General features: G+C 37.2%; 1 protein-coding gene across 2 annotated transcripts in view; it reads left to right on the top strand.

The window, feature by feature from the left end:
* The window catches only part of SHCBP1L (SHC binding and spindle associated 1 like), a 53,302-nt gene that overhangs the window by 17,995 nt on the left and 18,249 nt on the right, over positions 1-17,058 (top strand). For both annotated transcript variants that reach the window (NM_030933.4, NM_001345928.2), the window contains one exon: positions 5,420-5,525. In NM_030933.4, the coding sequence (NP_112195.2) occupies positions 5,420-5,525 (106 nt within the window). The remainder of the gene's footprint in view (positions 1-5,419; positions 5,526-17,058) is intronic.

The following is a 17,058-nucleotide window of genomic DNA, read 5'->3' as shown; positions in this document are numbered from 1 at the left end:
GGCAGGAAACCTAGAATAGCCAAAAAGTAGAAGGACTCATACTACTCGATTTTAAGACTTACTATGAAGCTGTAGTAATCAAGACAGTATGGTATAAGTCAAAGAATAGATTAATGGAAGAGACAGATAGAACAGTGAAAGGAAATAGAGTCCATAAATAGAGTCCTTATATAGTCCAGATTAGAGAGTCCATAAGATCCACACATAGAGTAGACTGACTTGACAAAGGGCAAAAGAAATGTAATAGAAAAAGGATATTCTCTTCAACAAATGGTGCTGGAATAATTGAATATCTATATCCAAAAACGTGAACCTAGATACAGACCTTTCACAAAAATTAACTCAAAGTGGTCCATAAACCTAAACATAAAACTCAAAACTATAAGACTCATAGGAAATTATAGATAATCTTGTGTTTGGCAGTGGGTTTTTAGGTACCACAACAATACTGTATGTTATGTGAGAGAAAAAAGTCATAAGTTGGACTTTGTTAAAATTGAAAACTGCTCTGAAAAATACACTATTAAGAGAATGAAGAAACTAGCCACAGATTAGGAGAAAATATTTGCATAATGCATATCTGATAGACTTGTATCTAAAATATACAAAGAGCTCATAAAACTCAAACATAACAAACAACCCAATTAAAAATGGGCAAAGATCTGAATAGACACCTTACCGAAGAAGACACACAGACAGAAAAAAGCATATAAAGAGATGCTCAACCTCATTTGTCATTAGTAAGTTGCAAATTAAAACAGCAGTGAGATGCCATTACATACCTATTAGAAATGGCTAAAATCCAAAAAGCTGATAATATTAATTGCTACTGAGAATGTTGAGCAAAGGAACTCTCATTCTTTGTTGGTTAGAATGCAAAATGGTACTGCCTCTTTAGAGCACTGTTCGGCAGTTTCTTACAAAGTGAAACATAGTTTAACCATAGGACTCAGCAGTTGCAATCCTACTTGGTATTTACCCAATTAATTTGAAAACTTAGGTCCACATAAAAACCTACACTGAAATAAAAAGGATTACAAAGGAATAGTATAAATAAGCCAACAAATTAGATAACCAAGAATAAATGAACAGATGCCTAGTAAGACACAATCTACCAAAAATGATTCAAGCAGAAACATAAATTCTGACTGGCTCTATAACAAGTTAAGTAGATTGAATTAGCAAATGAAAAACTACTCACAAAGGAAAGTCAAGGACTAGATGTCTTCACTGGTGAATTGTGACACACATTTAAAGAAGAATCAACACTAATTCTTCAAAAACTCTTCCAGAAAATAAAAGGTAACAATTTCCCAACTCATTCTGTGAGACCAATATACTACTCTGAATCCAAAAGCAAAGACATCACAAGAAAAGAAAACCTACACGAATATCACTAATGAATATAGATACAAAATCCTCAACAAAATACTAACAAATGGAGTCCAGCAACATATAAAAAGATCAGTCACTATGACTAAGGTGAGATTTATCCCAGGAATCCAATGTTGTTTTAAAATACGAAAATCAATCAGTATAATATATAATATTAATAGAATAAAAAAACAAGACACACAGTCATCTCAATAGACACAGAAAAATCATATGACAAATTAACACCCTTTCATGATAAACACTCTAAAAAAAACTTGGAATAGAAGGCATTTTCCTCAACCTGTTTAAGGCTATCTATGAAAAACTCACAGCTAGAGTCATCATTTTTTGTGGTGAAAGAAGAGATGTTTTTCCCCCTACAATCAGGAGCATGATAAGGATATTTACTCTTGCCACTTTTATTCAAATTGTACTGGAGGTTCTAGCCAGAGCAATTAGGCAAGAAAAAGAAATAAAAAGCATACAGATTGGAAAGGAAGAAGTAAAGTTATCTCTATTCACAGATGACATGGTCTTGTATATAGAAAATCCTATAATGAAATACTGCTCAGCAATATAAAGAAGTAAATTGCTGGCCAGGTGAGGTGGCTCATGCCTGTAATCCCAGCACTTTGGGAGGCTGAGGCAGGCAGATCACAAGGTCAGGAGTTCGAGACCAGCCTGACCAACATGGTGAAACCCCGTCTCTACTAAAAATACAGAAATTAGCCAGGTGTGGTGGTGTGTGCCTGCAATCCCAACTACTCAGGAGGCTGAGGCAGGAGAATTGCTCGAACCTGGGAGGCAGAGGTTGCAGTGAGCTGAGATCGCACCACTGCACTCCAGCCTGGGTGACAGAGTGAGACTCTGTTTCCAAAAAAAAAGTAAATTGCTAACACACACAATAACAATAACATGGATGGATCTCAAAAATAGGCTGAGTGAAAAAAGCAGACACAAAAGAATGCATAGTATATTATTCTACTTTAAAATTCCATTGAGAGGCTGAGCAGGATGGCTCACGCCTGTAATCCCAGCACTTTGGGAGGCTGAAGTGGGCAGATCACCTGAGGTCAAGAGTTCGAGACAAGCCTGGCCAGTATGGCAAAACCCCATCTCTAATAAAAATACAAAAATTAGCAAGGCATGGTGGTGCAGGCCAGTTGTCCCAGCTACTTGGGAGGCTGAGGCAGGAGAATTGCTTGAACCCGGGAGGCAGAGGTTGCAGTGAGCTGAGATCGTGCCGCTGAGATTGTGCCACTGCATTCCAGCCTTGGCAACAGAGCGAGACTCTGACTCAAATAAATAAATAAATAAATAAATAAATAATAAAATTCCATAAAAAATTCCTAGAAAGGTGTGGAACAACAGGAATTCTCACTTATTGCTGGTGGGAAAAACAGTATAGTCACTTTGGAAGACAGTTTAGAAGTTCCTTACAAAACTAAAGATGCTCTTATCATATGATCCAGCAATCATGTTCCTTGATAATTACCCACATGAGTTGGAAACTTATGTTCACACAAAAACCTGCACATGGTTGTTTATAGCAGTTTTATTCATAATTGCTGAAACTTGGAAGCAACCAAAATGTCCTTCAGCAGGTGAATGTATAAATTGTGGGACACCCAGACAAGGAATGTTGGGACACCCAGACAAGGAATGTTATTCAGCACTAAAAAGAAAAAGACCTGTCAAGCCATGACAAGACATGGAAGAAACTTAAATGCATATTACTAAGTGAAAGAAGCCAATCTGAAAAGGCTACATACTGTATGACTCCAACTATATGACATTCTGGAAAGACAAAATTGTGGAGGCAGTAAAAAAAAAAAAAAAAAAAAAAAAAAAAAATCAGTGGTTCCCAAGTATTAAGGGAGAGGCAGAGCATAGAGAATTCTAAGGGCAGTGAAACTCTTCTGTATTATACTATAATGGTGGCTACATGTCATTATACATTTGTCCAAACTCCTATAATGGACAACACCAAGAGTCAACTCTGATGTAAACTATGGACTTTGGGTGATAATGATGTGTCAATATAGGTTCATCGGTTGTAACGAGTGTACCACTCTGGTGCCAGATATTGATAGTGGGGCAGGTTGTGTGTGCGGGGGGAACAAGGGATACACAGGAACTCTCTTCTTTTTGATCAACTTTGCTGAAAATCTGAAACTGCTCTGAAAAATAAAGCCTATTAAGAAAAATTTGAAGGAAGGGAAATACGTAATGACAGAAAGCAGACCAATGTTTGTTCAGGACTGCAAAGATGCATGAGGAAACTTACCAGTATGATGGAAATTTTTTATATCTTTATTATTGTGATTGAGTTAAAAACATATATACATTTGTGAAATCTCATGGAATAGTTCACTTAAAATGAATACCTTGTATGTAAATTATACCTTAATAAACCTGATTAAAAAACACCTATATATACCTTTGATTTTAAAACTAGGATAGCATGATAAACTACTGTGGTTTCCTGAATGTTTAGGATGTCTTACTTTTGGAGCAGCTAATTAACTGGTATATAGCAAAAAAAAAAAGTGTATGAATGGTTCCCTGTTTCTCAAGATCAAGACCACTTGCTTAAATAGATATAAAAATGCTGAGTGGGTTTGATTTTGAAATGTTTAACGAAACTTTTGGAGGATACTGCTATATGTTTAAATTCAGTTTTTAATAACTTGCATAGAAAATTATTAGAAAGTTTCCTGAAATCATAAGTTTTACAAAAATATATAATAATTGAGATACAGCTCAAAAATATTGGTACTGGCCAGGCTCATGCCTGTAATCCTAGCACTTGGGGAGGCCAAGGTGGGAGGACTGCTTGAGGCCAGGAGTTCAAGACCAGCTTGGGCAATGTAATGAGACCCTGCCTCTTAAAAAAAAAAAAAAAAAAGCCAGGCAAGGTGGCACATGCCTGTAGTCCTAGCTACTGGGGAGGCTGAGGTGGGAGGATTGCTTGAGCCCAGGAGGTCAAGGCTGCAGTAAGCCATAATTGCACCACTGCACTCCAGGGTAAGACCCTGTCTTTAATAAAAAAAAAAAAAAAAAAAAAAAATACATATATATATATATATATATACACACACACACACACACACACACACACACACACACACACACACACACACATATACTCCAGGGCAAGACCCTGTCTTTAATAAAAAATATATATATATGTATATATGTGTATATATATATATATATATATATATATATATATATATATATATACACACACACTAAAGCCACATCCTCTTAGCATAAAGCACTAATCAAAGTGCAGCAGAGAATGCAAAAGATTACACTAAAGAGATTACTGGTAAATCCTTATCTATTGGAAAAAGAGTGTCCCTTTTGGCTGACAGTAATGATAAAAGCCAACAGTTATACTGAAACTTTTTATCTGACTTTCTGTTGGAGACACTTAAATGATAGAGATACGAACAGGAAACATAAAGAAAAGCAGGAAGAAGAGAAAGAACTAATTAGAAGTGCTGAATAGCAAACAATATAAAAACAACTAAGAGAGAAGCTGGAACAGTTCTGCTGGGAGACCAACAGCCAACTATTTTATGGAGATAATATCCTTTGAAACAAAACGATATATTAATTGAGCATAGTATCTAAAATTATGTATATTCGAAAATATTCTGATGCCTCCCTGTCACAGGCATAACCCATCTTTGTGTGAGTCTACAACTCAATGGATTATGAAAGTACACCCCGGAAATTTTTCTACTGTATTGGAAGGTTGAGGTAGCTGAGGCAATGGTTGCAGAGGGTTGCATGCAGATTTCCAGGTACTATCAATTAAAATGAAAATATTTTAGAGTTTAAGGATTTAAACATGCAGTGATCTAAAAGATCTGAATCATTACATTGCTCTCAAGTTGCTCATTGCTCTCAAGGAACTTATAATTGATGAAAACATTTCTCAAAGATGCTTAGTACCAAGTTTTTATTTACAAGTAAGGACAAGGTCAGTCTTTTTCATGTTAATTTAATTATAACTAAATATTTTCAACTATAGAGTTCATGGACCTTTCTTTCCAAGAATTCTGAGGCGTAGGAAAGGAAAAAGAGAATTTGGAAAGACTATAACACATATTGTAGCAAAAATGATGACTACTGAAATGGTAAGAAATAAACTATTCTTATTTGTTATTTAAGTATTAGCTGTGTATAATCGGAAAAGAAGCTCCCTGAGGGTGGAGTCCTTGTCTAATCATTAATGCCTTATTTTCTCAACTACCTCCAGCTCAGTTATTGCCATATAATAGATACTAAATAAATAAATGGTGACAACTATTTACTGAGTACTAACCTTGTAGCCAGGTACTATGTTAGTTGCTTGGTGAAGATGAGACATAAACGTGAGAAAGACTGCATTTAGGGGAGACAAAATGTTGATCCAGACCCACAGTCTTCCTTCTTCACACATTTGAAAATTTCAAGCATGGTGGAAATATGGACACAAGTATATAGGCAGTTACAATTATGACACAGAATGATAAATGCTATGATAAGGATATGTACCCGGTACATGTAGAATGGGTACATAAGACAGAATTAGGAGTCTGGAAATGCTGAATAGAAGAAATAACTCAGCTGAATCCTGAAGGATGAATATAAATTTATCCAGCTCAAGAACAAACAAATGTTCTGAGCCAAAGAGCAAATATTTTCATTTCACTTGACCTCTCAGTAGCGTTTCAAATCTCTCTCATTGAAATAATCTCTTTCCTTGTTTTATGTTAGTATACTTTCAAGGTTTTCATTCTTTCTAGTTACTTTTTTTCTCATGTCCTCTAAATGCTTGGTACTTGTCTTTTTTATGCACTATATTATCCCAAAGTGATTTAGCTAATCTTCTCCCATAACTTCACTTATATATACAGGTACTTTTCCAGAATGTATTTGCATAGCCCAAACTTTTGCTCTAAGCCCCAAACCTATGTGTCCAACTGCCTATTGCTTATGACCACTTAATTGTCTCACCAGTACATCAATTAATTGTCTGCAATTAATTTCATAATCTTATCCCATTGACTTGCTTTCATTCTGGAGTTCTCTGTTTCAATAAATGGTACCATCATCTACTTGGTTGCTAATAACAATTTTCTGGGAGTTATCTTGTTCATATTTCTCATCACTTTCATACACACTCACTTTTTTCCTTCACTCACCCTACATCCTGGGATAAGCTGTGTTGTTTCCTCTGCCTGCTGAGCCACTGTTCATCCTTCAGGTCTTGATTTAAATATTTCCACAGGAAAAGGCCTTCTCAACCTTTCATAATACATTAGACTGCTGTATACAATTATAGTACCTTGTATTTTTCCCTATTGACACTTTCCTTTATCATGACTACATTTAACACTTTTGTGGCTATTTAATGTCTGTCTCTTTCACTAGTATGTGAGCTTCTTGAGAGCAAAGAGTATTTACCACTCATCCAGTCACCTAGCATGATGCTTGGTACATGGTAGGTGCCCAGCAATTTTTGGTGAATGAATAAATTAGTGTATGTAACAAGAGAGGTTAGTATATATGAGGAACCGAAAGAAGGCCACCAAGGCTGGTGGTTAACATCTAAGAGAGTGATGAAAGATAAAGCTGGCATATTAGATAGTCTTGTCTGCTATTCTACCAATTTTTATTCTTTTCAACAAAATTTAATTTTCCTTTTAATTACTTATTGGAGCATATTATTCAATCATGTTGATTATTCCACTAACATCTTTATAAACACCTTTTAAAACATCTTTTTAAAAAGGTATAAATCTTGCTTTTATCCTCAGCTTTATTTTGTCATTTTTATTTTTACTTCTCCTTTTCACTTTTAAATAGGTCCTGGCTTTATTCACTTTCTTATATGACAGAAATTTCTATGATTTTTTTTGTTCAGTGCTTTGCAATTCTGTTTTCATTTGTGTAATTATACCTGAACTTTGGAGGCCAGAATAATTAGAGGGAGACTACTGTGAGGAGAAAGTATCATCAGCTTCCAGTTTACTTAGACCTTGGATTTTAGATTTACTTTTGAGGTTCATGAAATATAGCTTGATAGTAGTATAGCTGTGCATATAAGCTTTTTTTTTTTTTTTTTTTGAGACGGAGTCTCGCTCTGTCGCCCAGGCTGGAGTGCAGTGGCGTGATCTCGCCTCACTGCAAGCTCCGCCTCCCGGGTTCACGCCATTCTCCTGCCTCAGCCTCCCGAGTAGCTGGGACTACAGGCGCCCGCCACTACGCCCGGCTAATTTTTTGTATTTTTAGTAGAGACGGGGTTTCACCCCGTTAGCCAGGATGGTCTCGATCTCCTGACCTCGTGATCCGCCCTCCTCAGCCTCCCAAAGTGCTGGGATTACAGGCGTGAGCCACCGCGCCCGGCTGCTGTGCATGTAAGCTTTAACAATTTCCTCATCTTTGAAGATTCTTGACTGAGAATTCTTGCTCTATACCCACCCCTTAGACGCAGTTTATTCATGCCCATCATCTTATGTTGGTGATCTTTACAAGCAGTGCAGTGGAAAGGCATGGACTTTGTAGTTAGATACCCAATGTTCAAATACCCTGAGACCACTTAATAAACAATCTTAGGCAAAGCGCATAACCTCTAAGCCTCAATTTCCTTACTTGCAGAATGCTTTAAAAGGAGAGAGAGAGAGTATATATATATATATATATATATATATATATATATATATATATATATATATATATATATATATAGTGCTAGTTAAGAGCATGGGCTCTAAAGACAAATTGCCTGGATTCTTGGTTTTGCCACTTACTAGTTAGGTGATTTTCAACCAATTATTTAACCCATCTGTAGTTTAGTTTCTCATATGTAAAATTGGGATAATAATCCTATGTTTCATATTTATAGAGTTGCTGTAAAGATTAAATGAGTTTATATTTGTAATATGCTTAGAATAATGCCCAGCACATAGTAAATGCTCAATAAATGTTTACCACTTGTTTCAGTTTCTGAACTAAAGTTAAACATTAGTCATTCTCCCAGATCTAGGAGAAACAGTGGTATTCCCATTGTGTATCATAGGCCTTTATCCTCTTGTTGATCACAGGCTTTTCCTTCTTTCAATCTGGAGACGGTATAGTGTGATGTTGGAGAACATAGACTTTAAGATCATAAAAACCTGGATTTGATTCACAGTTTTGCTTCTTAATATTTCTATGAGATTAAACAAATTACATGGTTTCTCTTATTTCCTCATCTGTAAAAGAGAATAATGAAGTCTGTCCCATAGAGTGTTAGGCTTAAGTGAAATAATTTATATAAATCTTTTAGCAAAATGCCTAGCACATAAATAAATGTCAACTGATATTATTATTACTATTTTGCAGTTTATATCCCAATAATATAGCCATCATTTTTGCCAGATTTTTCCTGAAGTGCTACAGAAGGTGATAACCATGTCTGAAAATATACGAAGTACAAAGAAGAATTTAATCAGTTTTCTTCCATCTGTACTACTGATTCTGTTGCCATCTGCCTCCTCAGAGACAGTGTGCTCTCAGTTATTCCTTCTTTTTTTTGGTATCTTTTTTCCTTTCTTAAAAAACTTGAGGTGAAATTTACATAGCAAAATTAACTGTTTTAAAGTGATATTCATTGACATTTAGTAGGGTCACAATGCTGTGTACATCTGTCTGGTTCCTAACCATTTTCATTACCCAAAACCAGAACCCCATACCTCCATTTCCCCTTTCCCCCACCTCCTGACAACCAACAATCTGCTGTCTCTGTAGATTTATGATTCTGGATATTTCATATAAATGGAATCATAAAATATCTGACCTTTATGTCTGGCTTCTTTCATCTAGCATGATGTTTATAAGGTTCATCCACATTGTAGCATTTATCAGTACTTCATTCATTTTTCTGGCTGAATAATATCCTTTTGTATGTATATACAATGATCTGCTTATACATTCATCAGTTGGTGGATATCTGAGTTGTTTCTGCCTTTTGACTATTGGGGAAAGTGGGGCTGTGAACATCTGTGTGCAAGAGTTTGTCTGACTACTTGTTTTCGATTCTTTGGGGTATATACCAAAGACTAGAATTACTGGGTCATATGTGCAACTTTATGAGGAATTGCCAAACTGTTTTTCACAGGGGCTGAAACATTTCACATTGTCATCTGCAAAGTATTAGAGTTCCAATTTCTCCAGTCCTCACCAAAACTTTTATCTTTTTTTATTATTTATTTTTTCTCTTTCTTTTATTTTTAAAATTACAGTGATCCTAGCGAATGTGAAGTGGTATTTCATTGTAGTTTTGATTTTCATTTAACTAATGACTAATGATGTTGAAGATGCTGAACATCTTTCCATGGACTTGTTGGCCATTTGTGTATCTTCCTTGGAGTAACATCTATTAAATTCATATCCCATTTTGTAATTGGGTTGTTTGTCTTCTTGTTATTGACTATAAGAGTTATTTATATATTCTGAATACTAGACCCTTATTAGATATATGCTCTGCAAATTTTTACCCCCCATTCCTTAGGCTTTTTCACTTCCTTTTGTGCGCTTTATTGCCACTTAGGGGATGCTAGGAGCATTGCCTGTCCGTGATCACTGTCATTGCTGTTAACCTTATTCACTATTTCATATGTGATCCCTCTTCCTCCCCCTCCTTCTTTCTTTCTTCACTTCTTTCCTTCCTTTCCTTCCTTTCCTTCCCTTCCTTCCCTTCCTTCCCTTTCTTCCCTTCCTTCCCTTCCTCCCCTTCCTCCCCTTCCTTCCTTTCTTCCTTCCTTTCCTTCTTCCTTTTTTTTTCTTTCTTTCTTTCTTTCTTTCTTTCTTTCTTTCTTTCTTCCTTCCTTCCTTCCTTCCTTTCCTTTCTTTCTCTCTCTCTCTTTGTCTTTCCCTTCCTTCCTTCTTTCCTTCCTTCCTTCCTCCCTCCCTTCCTCCCTCCTTCCCCCACCCCTCTCTTCCCTCCTTCCTTCCTTCCTTTCTTTCTCTCTTTCTTTCTTTCTTTCTTTCTTTCTTTCTTTCTTTCTTTCTTTCTTTCTTTCTTTCTTTCTTTCTTTCTTTCTTTCTTTCTTTCTTCCTTTCCTTTCCTTTCCTTTCCTTTCTTTTGTAGTTGGATCGGAATAGCACTGCATCTGTACATTGCTTTGGTCAGCATGGTCATTTTAACAACATTGATTCTTTTGGCGGGGCGCGGTGGCTCACACCTGTAATCCCAGCACTTTGGAAGGCCAAGGCGGGAGGATCACGAGGTCAGGAGATCAAGACTATCCTGGCTAACACGGTGAAACCCGTCTCTACTAAAAATACAAAAAATTAGCCGGGCATTGTAGTGGGCGCCTGTAGTCCCAGCTACTCGGGAGGCTGAGGCAGGAGAATGGCATGAACCCAGGAGGCAGAGCTTGCAGTGAACTGAGATCAGCCACTGCACTCCAGCCTGGGTGGCAGAGCGAGACTCCGTCTCAAAAAAAAAAAAAAAAAAATTGATTCTTCTTATTCTTGAGCATGGAATGTTTTTCCATTTGTTTGTGTTGTCTCTTATTTCTTTCAACAGCATTTTGTAGTTTTGCAATTCTTGTTGTAGAGCTTTTTCACTTCCCTCGTTAGCTGTATTCCTAGGTATTTTATTTTGTGTGTGTGGCCATTGTGAATGGGATTGTGTTCTTGATTTAGTTCTTCAGCTTGGACATTGTTGGTGTATAGAAATGCTATGGATTTTTGTACATTGATTTTTGTGTCCTGAAACTTTGCTAAAGTTGTTTATCAGATCTAGAAGCTTTTGGGTAGAGGCTATGAGGTTTTCTAGGTATAAAATCATATAGTCTCTAAAGAGATAATTTGACTTCCCCTCTTCCTATTTGGATGCCTTTTATTTCTGTCTTTTGCCTGATTGCTCTGGCTAGGACTTCCAGTACTGTGTTGAATCGAAGTGGTAAGAGTGGGTATCGTTGTCTTGTTGTTTTTCAAGGGGAACGCTTCCAGCTTTTGCCCATTCAGTATGATGTTGGCTGTGGGCTTGTCATAGATGGCTCTTGTTATCTTGAGGTATATTCCTTAAGTGCCTAGCTTGTTGAGAGTTTTTAAGATGAATAGATGTTGAATTTATAGAAAGCCTTTTCAGCATCTGTTGAGATGATCATGTGGTTTTTGTTTTTAGTTCTGTTTGTGTGCTGAATCACATTTATTGATTTTTGTATGTTGAACCAACCTTGCATCCCAGGAATAAAGCTAATGTTATCATGGTGGATTAGCTTTTTGACTAATGGCCACTTAGGTCATTGATGTGCTACTAGATTCAGTTTGTTAATATTTTGTTGAGGATGTTTGCATCTGTGTTCATTAGGAATATTGGCTTGAAGTTTACTTTTTTTGATGCTTCTGCCAGGTTTTGGTATCAGAATCATGCTGGCCTCAAAGAATGAGTTAGGGAGGAATGTTTTGGAATAGTTTCAGCAGGATTGGTAGCAACTCTTATACGTCTGGTAGAATTCAGCTGTAAATTTGTCTCATTCAGGGCTTTTTCTGATTGGTAGGTAGGCTCTTTATTACTGATTCAGTTTTGGAACTCATTATTAGTCTGTTTATGGTTTCAGTTTCTTCCTGGTTCAATCTTGGGAGATTGTGTGTTTGCAGGAATTCATCCAGTTCCTTTAGATTTTCTAGTTTTTGTGCATAGAGGTGTTTGTAATAGCCTCTGAGGGTTTTTTTGTATTTCTGTGGTGTCAGTAGTAATGTCCTTTTTGTTGTTTCTGGTTATGTTTATTTGGATATTCTCTCTTAGTCTAGCTAGCAGTCTATCTTATTTATTCTTTCAAAAAACAAAGGTTTTGTTGATCTTTTGTATGGTTTTTCACATCTCAAATTCATTCAGTTCCACTCTAATTTTGGTTATTTTTCTTCTTCTAGCTTTGGGATTGGTTTACTCTTATTTTTCTAGTTCCTCCAGGTGTGATGTTAGGTTGTCAATTTGAGATCTTTCTAACCTTTTGATGTGAGCGATTAGCAGAATAAACTTTCCTCTTAACACTAATTTAGCTGTGTCTCAGAGTTTCTGGTATGTTATATCCTTGTTCTCATTAGTTTCAAATAATTTTTTGATTTTTTGATTTCTGTGTTAATTTCAGTGTTTACCCAAAAGTCATTCAGGAGCAGATTGCTTAATTTCCAAGTAATTGTATGATTTTGAAAGGTCTTCTTAGTATTGATTTCTTTCTTTTTTTTTTTTTTTAGATGGAGTCTCGCTCTGTCACCCAGGCTGGAGTGCAGTGGCATGATCTTGGCTCACTGCAACCTCCACCTTCCAGATTCAAGCGATTCTCCTGCCTTGGCCTCCCAAGTAGCTAGGATTACAGGCATGCACCACCATGCCTGGCTAATTTTTTGTATTTTTAGTAGAGATGGGGTTTCACCATGTTGGCCAGGCTGGTCTCAAACTCCTGACCTCAAGTGATCTGACCTCAGGCGATCTGTAGATGTCTGTTAGGTCCATTTGGTCGTGTAGAGTTCAGGTCTCAAACATCTTTCTTAATTTTCTGCCTCAATTATCTGTCTAATACTGTCAGTGGGGTGTTGAAGTCTTGCACCACTGTTGTGTGGTTATCTAAGTCTCCTGATAGGTTTCTAAGAACTTATTTTATGAATCTGGGTGCTCCAGCATTGGGATTATATATATTTAAGATAGTTAATTCTTCTTGTTGAATCAAACCCTTTATCATTATGTAATGCCATTCTTTGTCTTTTTAAAATCATTCTTGGTTTAGGAGTCTATTTTGTCTGAAATTAAAATAGTAACCCCTGCTTTTTTTGGTTTTCCATTTGCTTGGTAGATTTTTCTCCATCTTTTTGCTTTGAGCCTATGGGTGTCATTGCATGTGAAATGGATTTCTTTTTTTTGGAACTGAGTCTTGCTCTGTCGCCTAGGCTGGAGTGCAGTGGTGTGATCTCAGCTCACTGCATTCTCTGCCTCTTGCCTCAGCCTCCCAAGTAGCTGGGATCACAGGCACGTTGCCACCGCGCCTGGTTAATTATTGTATTTTTAGTAGAGATGGGGTTTTGCCATGTTGGCCAAGCTGGTCTCGAATTCCTGACCTCAGGTGATCCACCTTCCTTGGCCTCTCAAAGTGCTGGGATTATAGGTGTGAGCCACCACGCCCTGCCTGAGATGGATTTCTTGAAGACAGCATAGAGTTGAGTCTTCCTTCTTTATCTAACTTGCCACTTTGTGCCTTTTAAGTATGGCATATAACCCATTTACTTTCAAGGTTAATATTAATATGTGCAGATTTGATCCTGTCAAAACAAACCTAACAAACCTATTAGCTCGTTGTTATGCAGACTTGATAGTGCAGTTACTTTATAGTGTGAATGGTCTATGTCCTTAAGTGTGTTTTTGTGGTGGTAAATAACAGTCTTTCATTTCCACGTTTAGCACTCCCTTAAGGACCTCTTGTAAGGTCTGGTGGTAATGAATTTTCTTAGCATTTTCTTACCTTCACTTATGAAGCTTAGTTTGGGTGGATATGAAATTCTTGGTTGGAGTTTCTTTTCTTTAAGATTGCTGAATGTAGGCCCCCAATCTCTTCTGACTTACAGGATTTCTGCTGAAAGGTCCACTGTTAGCTTGATAGGATTCCCTTTGTAGGTGACCTGCCTCTCCTCTCTAGCTGCCTTTAATATTTTTTCTTTCACGTTGACCTTGAAGAATCTGATGACTATGTCTTGGGGATGGTCATTTTGTATAGTATCTCATAGGGGTACTCTGCTTTTTCTGGATTTGAATGTCAACCTCTCTGGAGAGGTTGGGAAATTTTTAGTGTACAGTATCCTGAAATATGCTTGCTTGCTTTCTCTCCCTCTGTTTTAGGGATGCCAATGAGTCGTAGGTTTGGTCTCTTTACATAATCCCATATTTGTCAGAGGTTTTGTTCATTCTTTTTTATTCTTTTTTCTTTATTTTTGTTGGACTAGTCTTCAAGCTCTGAGATTCTTTCCTCAGCCTGGTCTATTCTGCTATTAATACTTCCAATTCTTGGAGTGAGTTTTTCAGCTCCATCAGTTCAGTTTGATTCTTTCATAAAGTGACTGTTTCATCTTCCAGCTCTTGTATTGTTTATTGGATTCATTAGATTCTTTGGATTGGGTTTCAACTTTCTCCTAAATCTTGATGATCTTAGTTCATATCCAGATTCTGTATTCTGTCTGTCATTTCAGCCTGGTTAAGAACCATTGATGGGGAATTAGTGTGGTTGTTTGGCGGTAAGAAGACACTCTGGCTTTTTAAGTTCCCAGAGTTCTTGCACTGCTTTTTTCGCATCTGCTTGGGCCGATGTTCCTTTGAAGTTGATGTCCTTTGGATGGGGTTTTTTTGCTTTTATATTCTTTGATGCGTGTGAGGGTTTTACTGTGGTATAAGGTAGGTTCAGTCAACTGGCTTCATTTCTGGAAGATGTCAGGGGTCCAATTCTTACCTCAGTACTACTGGGCTGCATGCGCAACCCTGGGGGGCTGGTACCAGGCCCACAGCACAGGTTTGTTCTCTGGCCTCTCAAGGTTAATCACCTCCTGCACTGGAGGGGCTGAGGTGTTCACAGTCTGCTGGTAACAACACTTCGATGGTGAGTGCTAACCAAAGCCCTTTGTTGGGGCAGTGGCAGCAGGTCTGTGCTCCTGCATATGTGCCAACAGTGGCAGCGGTGCAGCAGGGTGTGCATGTATCAGCAGGGGCAGGGTGCCAGCGAGGGTGGGACTGTGGTGTTTGTATGTATGCATTAGTGCTAGTGGTGGCAGGACAACAAAGTGTGCATGCATGTGTGCTGGTAGGGGAGGGGTGGTGACGTCTGCCTGTATGTGTGCACTTCCAAAGCAGTGGGGGATGATGTGGTAGGGGGAGGCTGTGTGGATCCCTCTTTCTTGATTTAATATGTTACAACAAGCAAGTCATGGCCTCCAACTTTCAGATCTTTATCAAGTTTGGTAACAATAAGAAACATGGATCCATAGTTAGAAAATTCAATAAATGTTAAAACAAACACCCAGTTTGATCTTCCTCAGTGAACGACCATTCCAGTTTTATGCTTATAATTGAAATTAGCTTTGACCCATTGACCTGCCCAAAATTACCTTATCCCTCACCTAGTGGTCTATGCATGGTGCCTAGGCTTTTTTACATTCTTGATAATGTCCCTTGATGCCTTACAGTTTTTAACTTTGAGGAAATTCAGCTGCTTTGGTTTGGATGTTTTTGCCCCACTCCAAAACTCAAGTTTTGGAAACTTAATCCTCAACACAACAGAGTTGGGAGATGAAGCCTAATGGGAGGTATTTCAAGAGGATAGGGCCCTCACAAATGGATCAATGCCCCTATAAAAAGGAATTATGGGAGCTGGTTCTGCCTCTGTTGTTCTTCTGCCATGTGAAGACAGAGTTCCTCTCCAGAGTTCTTGCCTTTTGCCATGTGAGGATCCAAGTGGCAGGCAAGGTGCCATCTTGGAAGAGAATGGCCTCACCAGGCACCAAACCTGCCAGTGCCTTGACCTTAGACTTCCTAGCCTCCAGAACTGTGAGCTAATAAATTTATTTTATAAATTACACAGTCTGTAGCATTCTGTTATACAGCAGCACAGATAGACTAAGGCAGAAATTTATTTTTTCTTTTGTTACTCATGCTTTTGTGTCATACCTTAGAATCCGCTGCCAAGTTCAAGATCATGAAGATTTACCCTTATGGTTTTTCCTAAGAGTTTTATGGTTTTAGCTCTTATATATAGGTTGTTAATCAATTTTGAGTTAATTTTTGTATATGGTGTTGGGTTTGGGTTCAGCTTTATCCTTTTGCATGTAGATACTTATTTGTCCCAACACCATATGTTGAAGAGACTATTCTTTCCCCATTGAATGATCTTGTAACCCTTGTTGAAAATCACTTGCCCATAATTGGGTTTATTTCTGGATTTTCAGTTCTATCCCACTGGTCTATATGCCTATCTTTATGCCAGTACCACACTATTTTATTACTGTGGCTTTGTAGTAAGTTTTGGAATCAGAAGAGTGAGTCCTCCACTTTGTTCTTTTTCAGTATTGTTTGGCTGTTCAGGGTCCCTTGCAATTCATTATTAATTTGAAGATGAGCATGTTCATTTCTTCAAAAAAAAGGCTATTGAAATTCTGATAGGGATTACATTGAATCTGTAGATCAATGTAAGTAGTATTGCTATTTTAGCAATATTAAAATCTTCCAATCCATGAACATGGGATGGCTTTTCATCTATTTGACCTTCTTTAATTTCTTTGAGCAATGGTTTGTAGTTTCAGTATACAAGTCCTTCACCTCCTTGGTTTACATTATTTCTAGGCATTTTATTATTTTGTGTGCTATTGTAAATGGAATTTTCTTAATTTTCTTTTCAGATTGTTCATTAGTGATATATAAAAACAAAACTGATTTTGTGTTCTGATTTTGCATCCTTCAACTTTGCTGAATTTGTTTATTAGCTATCATATGTTTTTGGTGCATTCCTTGGAGATATATATGTGTGTATATATATGTATATATATATGTGTATATATATGTGTATATATATGTATATATATGTGTATATATATGTATATATGTGTGTATATATATGTGTATATATATGTGTATATATATACACACACACGTATATATGT

The sequence above is a fragment of the Homo sapiens genome, chromosome 1 (genome assembly GCF_000001405.40).
Source record: "Homo sapiens chromosome 1, GRCh38.p14 Primary Assembly".
In the NCBI taxonomy this organism is placed as follows: Eukaryota; Metazoa; Chordata; class Mammalia; order Primates; family Hominidae; genus Homo; species Homo sapiens.
Note: the sequence above shows the minus strand (reverse complement) of the source record. Positions and strands in the feature narration are given on the sequence as shown.